General features: G+C 38.2%; 1 annotated feature.

Moving 5' to 3' along the window:
- Window positions 6,052–6,553: an enhancer, noted in NCBI's record as "OCT4-NANOG hESC enhancer chr21:9999495-9999996 (GRCh37/hg19 assembly coordinates)". NCBI's record gives its function as "activates a minimal SCP1, AML or CMV promoter by ChIP-STARR-seq in primed H9 embryonic stem cells {active_cell/tissue: H9 hESC(primed)}" and the evidence as "EXISTENCE:reporter gene assay evidence [ECO:0000049][PMID:30033119]".

Here is a 7,173-nt window from a genome sequence, read left to right on the forward strand (position 1 = left end):
GGTAGTAGTTTTCGTCTTTTGAATTCCTTTCTACATTCCTTTCTTGTGTCCAATTTGCCCACAATTAAGTCAAGAGCCTGAGAAATGAAGCATATTTTTTCTTACTCTTAATCTAGCCACAGCCTGAGCTAAAAGAATAACCTTATGTAAGTTATCTCCAATGCCATCGCAAGCCTTAATATATTTAGTTAAATGGGCCCTCTCTGTCTGGGATCTAATAGCAGTTTGACACTCTGCATTAGCATTATTGTACGCAAGAAGCTGTATTACAACATCCTGAGCTGTTTTGATCATTTGCGGCTTTATACACAGCCTCTTGGAGCTGAGCAATAAAATTAATATATGGTTCTTTAGGTCCTTGTCAGACAGAACTGAAATAAGGATACTTTTCCCCGGTAACATTTATCCTTTTCTATGTATGTAAGCACATGAAGCACAGCTGAACAATGGCAACATCTTCCATTAGTGCTTGATTCTCTAATCAACCCCAGTTAGGGCCAACTCATATTAACTGATCAAAGAAAACAGGCACAGGTGGCTGCACTTGTGTGTTTTCTTTTGCCTGAGTTTGAGCTTCATCAGCCTACCAAGTTTTAAACTGCAAGTACTGAGATGGAGTGAGAACAGGTTTTGTCAAAGTATCCTAATTATATGGTAGTAATCTATTATCAAGAGCCATATTTTTAAATAAAGTTTGCACAAAAAGAGAGTTCAGTCCATATTGACTAATGGCTTGCTTAAATTCTTTAGTAACTTAAAAGAGAAAGCAGCCTAATTAGCTATATTCTGTCCTACTTGCTGGATTATAGTAACGGGAAATTGCCATGCTTCAAGGTCTCCCTTGGCTTTAGCTTTTTGAATAGAATTTTGTCTACCACCACCAATTGCTCCAGGTTTTAATGTTGTAACTACAGGAGCAGTAAGTTTTTCAGCTAATTTATTTTCTCACCCATTTAGAGGAGAGAGAGGAGGTGGCCATTCACTTAATTCAGCAGGTGGAGCCAACGGGCTAGTAAAACATACTTTTAAAAGTTTTTCTTTCTTTTCTTTAATCTCGTCTGGTAGCTGCTCCCCACACTCAGAATTTGAAGTTAGTTTTTTACACTCATCCTCCTCTTCCTCATCTGAGTCTGCCTCATCATCTGTTTGAAATGGCTCAAGGGCTGCCTTTATTAGTGCCCACACTGACCATACAGAAACTAGAATTTCTGCTCCATCTTTATATGTCTTTTAAAAAATCTCTTCCAATTCTCTCCCATTCATCCAACTTCATAGTCCTTTGTTCTGGAAACCATGGGCAAAACTGCTTTACTGTACTAAAGAGTGATAACAAATTCTAAGTACTAATTTTCATTCCCCATCTTTGTATGTCCTCGGGTGTCTTTTGATGTTGTGTCCTCTGCTTTCACATGCTCCAGCCTTCCTTCACCGGGTCTTTGTCACCCCATGTTGGGCGCCAGGAATGTTGGGGTGATCAGACCCAACACTAGGTCATGGGGGTGATGAAGTCCGGCAGAGTCAAAGGAATGAGAAAAAGACAGTTTGAGAGAGAAAGTGGGACCAGGAGACCATCACGAGTGTGGAGCCTGCAAAGTCCCCAAGCTCTGGGAGCCTACGCTATTTGTTGGTGCTCAAACAAACAGGTGGAGAGGATTTAGGGGTTGAAAGGAAACGGTGTATCAAGTGAATGAGAAACATATGGCCCTGCCTCAGCTTCTCTTCCAACACTCAGCTTTTCTCCCAACACATTCCCCTTATGAACAGGAATAAAATAGGGATGCCTGTTCTCACCACTCCTGTTTAACAAGTCCTAGCCAGAGCAATCAGGCAAGAGAAAGCTATAAAAGGCATCCAAATAGGAAATGAAGTCAAATTATCTCTCTTCACTGATGATATGATTCTACACCTAGAAATCCCTAAAGACTGTGCCAAAAGGCTCCTAGAACTGATAAAAAAAACTTCAGCAAACTTTGAGGATTAAAAAAAATTAACATATAGAAAGAAGTATCATTTCTGTACACCAAAAATGTTTAAACTGAGAGGTAACTCAAGAGTGCAATCCTGTTTACAAGAGCAACCCCCAAAATAAAATAAAAGAAAAGAAGAATATGTCTAAGCAAGGAGGTAAAGGATATCTAAAAGGAGAACTACGAAACACTGCAGAAAGAAATCATAGATGACAAAGCAAATGGAAAACTATTCCATGCTCATGGATTAGAAAGATCAATATTGTTAAAATGGCTATACTGCCAAAAGCAATCTACACATTCAACACTATTCCTATGAAACAACCAATGTCGTTTTTCACAGAATTAGAAAAAAAATATTCTAAATTTCATATGGATTTTTAAAGAGCCCAGACAACCAAAGGAAACCTAAGCAAGAAGAACAAAGCTGGAGACATCACATTACTTGACTTCATACTATACCCTAAGGCCACAATAGACAAAATAGCATGGTAGCGATATGAAAACAGACACAAAGACCAATGAAACAGAATAGAGAACCCGAAAATAAACATGCACCTACAGCCATCAGCTTTCCCAGGGTAACACAAAGAGAGCCAAGTGGCACCTGCACATTACGCTGTGGAAGAAAAACCCAAGCTCAAGAAACCTCAACTTGTATTATGGGAAGTTCACTTGGCTGTACCCTTCCCAAGAGGGAGAAATTATCTGCATTATACTAGACAGTAAATAAACTTTTCCTTTGTTCCAGAAGGAGGTACTGGTTTTCTATTCCAAGGCTGTTTTCTATACAAACATGCTTGAAAACAATCATTTGGAACAAGAAAGTCAGCGTCCATACTTGCAAAATGTGTGGAAATCAAAGAGACCCAAAAACTGTTTCTCTACCAATTTCTATTTTTTTAAAATCACATTTTCCCCATATAATAAGCTTTTAATATGTGTTAATATTCTGAAATTGTCTTAGCATTTACCCCCATTTCTGAGTCCTGAAGGATACAATAAATTTAATTTAATTTAGTAACACTTCAAATAGTAGTGATTGTAATAGCAGAGCTAGTTTGTAGCATAAAGAAAAAATAATAATATTAGGTGACACAAATAATGCTAGCCACCATTTCTAAGTGTCATGGTAAGTACAGTGATTATTTTCTTTTTTTCTGACTCTTTTTTATTGTATTTTTTTATTTTTTTTCCCATAGGTTATTGGGGTACGGTGGTATTTGGTTCGAGTCCATGAATAACTTCTTTACTGGTTATTTGTGAGATTTGGGTGCACCTATCACCCGAACAGTGTACACTGCACCTTATTTGTTATCTTTTATCCCTCGCCCCCCACCCTATTAAATAATAGACAAAAAATAATGGGTTTAGAATAAATGAGTTCAAATGAATTGTCAAACCTATGTGGGAAAAGTGGAATCAGTTTGTGAGAAAAAGGAAAAAACCTCAACAGAAATGCTGATAAAGCATCATCCCTTCATGGCTAGAGCTGCCAGGACACTAGAACACCAAAATCAGCTAGGGAAATTTTGTAGAAGTCCCAGATGTACTAGATGTTCTGTGAATACACAGAGATATAATTATAACTGTTACCTGCATGTAGAGTAAAGATGAGAAGTCATTGGTCATGGTGGCAGCTACCTCAGGAGTTACAAAGCAGACGTGGTTCCAGGACAGTGTATGTCAGGGCAAAGCTGTCCTAGGACGCTATTAGGAGTTGGTTATGGCATAGACATTGTAAGTCAGATGGTCTCATTACTTTCAATGACAAAACCAAAATTACTTTTGTATCAGCCTAATACAACGGCCTGGCAAGAGCACAGAAAAAGTCCCTGTGCTGTTAGGTGGGGACCTCTGATGCAGCACAATTCCTTCATTCCCTTCTCCAAAACCCCCCTCTTCCAATTCCACTGAAGAGAGAATCTGATGGAAGTGCTGTGTAAGTAGGCTCAGATATATCTACCACTATAGATAGTAGAGGTGATTCATAAATCCAAGCCTATCAAATACATCATAAAAAAGTTACACGTTTAATTTTTTTTTGAAATTAGGGATCATGATATAAAAGTTATCAGAATCAAAACTGTCAGTAATCTTTAAAAAGAAAAGAAAAAACCTGGACAAATAGATTCAGAGAAGGCCTTGAAGAGAGGGTTCTCATGCTTCTAGGCCTGATACAAACTGTCACAAAATCCACAACCTTGCACAAAGGCCATAGCAACCTTACACAAAATACACTTCTGTGAGGACATCTATCCAGCAACCACCTGCTCAAACTTCAACTGACATCGACCTTGTTGTTGATCTTTATAGTCAAAGATAACTATAACAAAACAATTATATAAGCCTGTTCATTTTTCCTTTATTTATTTTTTTCTACTCCCCCATAATTCCAGGTTGATCACTTTTCTTTTAAAGACCTTGTCTTCCTTTACCATTTGAATCTACACAGTTTGCTTTGTCATGCATATTCCCATTGCAGTGCCCTCCTCCCTAAGATGTGTCTTTTTCCTTTAGAGAACCTTTCTCTGTTTGTTATTTAGGTTTACAATGAGAAGGCGTGAAAAGTAATTTTACTGTCTTCCTAGGAAAAAATCACTGACTTACAATATTTATATTTATTTATTTACATTCCTGGGGATGAGGAATTAAAGATTTCACAAATTTTCTTATTGAGAAGATCGAAGTTTTCATGTGAGCAAAACTGAATATGTAAATTGATATGTAAATTATGCTGCAGATAATATGCTCAAATGTTTACTTGTATTTAATTTGTTACACATGAATATTGCATATGTAAGATAATATACTAAGAAATTATCACATTTAATGAAATGCTTTAATCAAATTCCTGATTGAATTTTTGATATCAATATCTTTTTCCTTGTTTAATCCATCTTTAGAGTGAACAGGGCTGTCTAGGCCAAAGTCCTCACTTCTATCTAAATTGTCTGAGTTACAGAACTTTTTGAATTTATTATGTTGTCACAGGAAGTTTCTTATTGCTTGTTTAAAGGAGTCGCTCTCAATATGATGCGGAATCCAAAAGCACTGAAGGGCATATATCCTGAGTTTCTGTTACTGAAGCCAAAGGTTGCCAATTTCTTGTAGATCCTGCTAGAGTTAAACTTCATTTAAGTAATCATTAAAAGCTGCATTTATTCCCTCACTTGAACTTTTGATTTCACACTATTAGGACTAATCCTCTAAGTCTTTGCTAAGTTATGTTCCTCCTTTTCTTGTGGCTTGATTCTGATGCTCTCTATATGCAACATCAATTGATGTAAAGTACATTCAGGGTAAGAGAGTTTCTTTAAATATTACTTTGTTATTCAAAATAATCACAAAAGCACTCATCGTAGGAAAACTTGTGAGGACTCAAATATAGGGAAATACTTTTTCTTTCTAAGGCACAATTCTCTAAAGAAGTTCACCTTAATTTGAATATACATGGGAAAATATCCTTGTTCACTAATAGTCTATATTCACTCTGTTTTCTTCCCTCATAGACCAGCCGGTTCACTATTATTTTCCAAATGATGTTTGCCTCTTTAGAGTCCAGGCTATCTGCATATCTACTTTTTCCCACAAATTACTGTTTTGAATTGCACTGAATTCAATTCAAAGGGATGTCATTTATAAACAGTGCAAATATATACTGCACGAGGGATCTTAGAAATCATACACATGGTTTGATCCATAAGCTCATATGAGCGTGCAATGTCAACTTCTTTCATGTTTTTTTAAGTCCACTTAAATTCTATTTTAAGCCACCATCTGCCTGTGCTGTTAGGGCAGTTAGCCTTCAATCATTTTAAGATGCTCCTCTCTAAGTACCGTGATAATGATAGAGATATCACCAGTCAGGTGTCCTAGGAAGCCGACTCCGAGTTGGAGATTTGCATGCAAGGAGGTTGAAATGATATTCCCAACACCTGTGGAAGAGTGAAAGCAATAGGATTGGGCGGAGCAGGAAGTCGGCTAGAATGCAATCACTATCATGGCTGCAGTCCACTCTACAGGGATCTTGGTGAGTTTACCTAATGACCTCGAATTGGAGCAAGAAAACCAGGCCATTATATTTCTGTACCAAGCAGTTCTCGGATGTGGGATGCCCTGAGAAGGGACATGAACTTGGATGAAGGAACTTTACTGTGCTGTGAGTATTGTTGCCAGGAGTCAGCTGTCAACACTCCCAGGAGACGGGAAATTATGCTTTAGTCACTGAGGCGGCATCTAGTGTCAGACCACAGCCTTGTTAAACAGAGCCAGACTTTGGAGGATGGTTGGTGGGTTTAAAATTTGGGGCTTGACATCTTGTCCCCACAAGCTGCTGCTGGCCTCTTCCTTGTCCATTTCTGTGTGGCCTGTTTAGGCCCCCCAGCTTCCTGCTTCTTCTTTACCATATTTGGAATGCAAAAATCTACACGTAATTTGGCCCATGGTCCCTTCTGCTTAGACATATCCTTGTAGCTATTTTTTTTTTTAAAGATGACTATGTCTTCTAGAATATTTCTAAGAAATTGCCTAAGTCACCACTGCTCACCAAGAGGCCTTTGTTTTTTCCTCTTCTTAACCATGGGAAAGGAATGTAGGAGGGTAGGGAGTGGATATTTTCTAACCTGGAAAAAACTCATTTTACCCTATATAATTTTTTTTAGCAAATTCCTTCTTTGCACTTACTCCACAATCTTTCCAAATTCTCCCAAATGCTCAAGCTTTTAAAAAACAAAAGACAGAAAGATAGCAGGTTATTAGGTTTTCCACCAAACCTTTTCTTTCTATTCCTTTACATCAGTGAGCTTAGAATAACTCTGCTCCTGGAACTGGGAAAGGGACTTGGGAAAAGAAAGAAAAAAAAAGCTCCCAAAGTTTAGCATCACAAAACATTATAGTCACTGCTATTTTATTATTTATTTATTTATTTATTTACTTTTGAGATGGAGTCTTGTTCTGCCACCAGGCTGGAGTGCAGTGGTGCGATCTCTGCTCACTGCAACCTCCGCGTCCTGGGTTCAAGTGATTCTCCTGCCTCAGCCTACTGAGTAGCTGGGACTACAGGCGTGTGCCACCACACCCAGCTAATTTTTGTATTTTTAGTAGAGATGGGGTTTCACCGTGTTAGCCAGGATGATCTCGATCTCCTGAATCTGTGATCCGCCCGCCTTGGCCTCCCAAAGTGCTGGGATTACAGGCATGAGCC

The sequence above is a fragment of the Homo sapiens genome, chromosome 21 (genome assembly GCF_000001405.40).
Source record: "Homo sapiens chromosome 21, GRCh38.p14 Primary Assembly".
Lineage (NCBI taxonomy): Eukaryota > Metazoa > Chordata > Mammalia > Primates > Hominidae > Homo > Homo sapiens.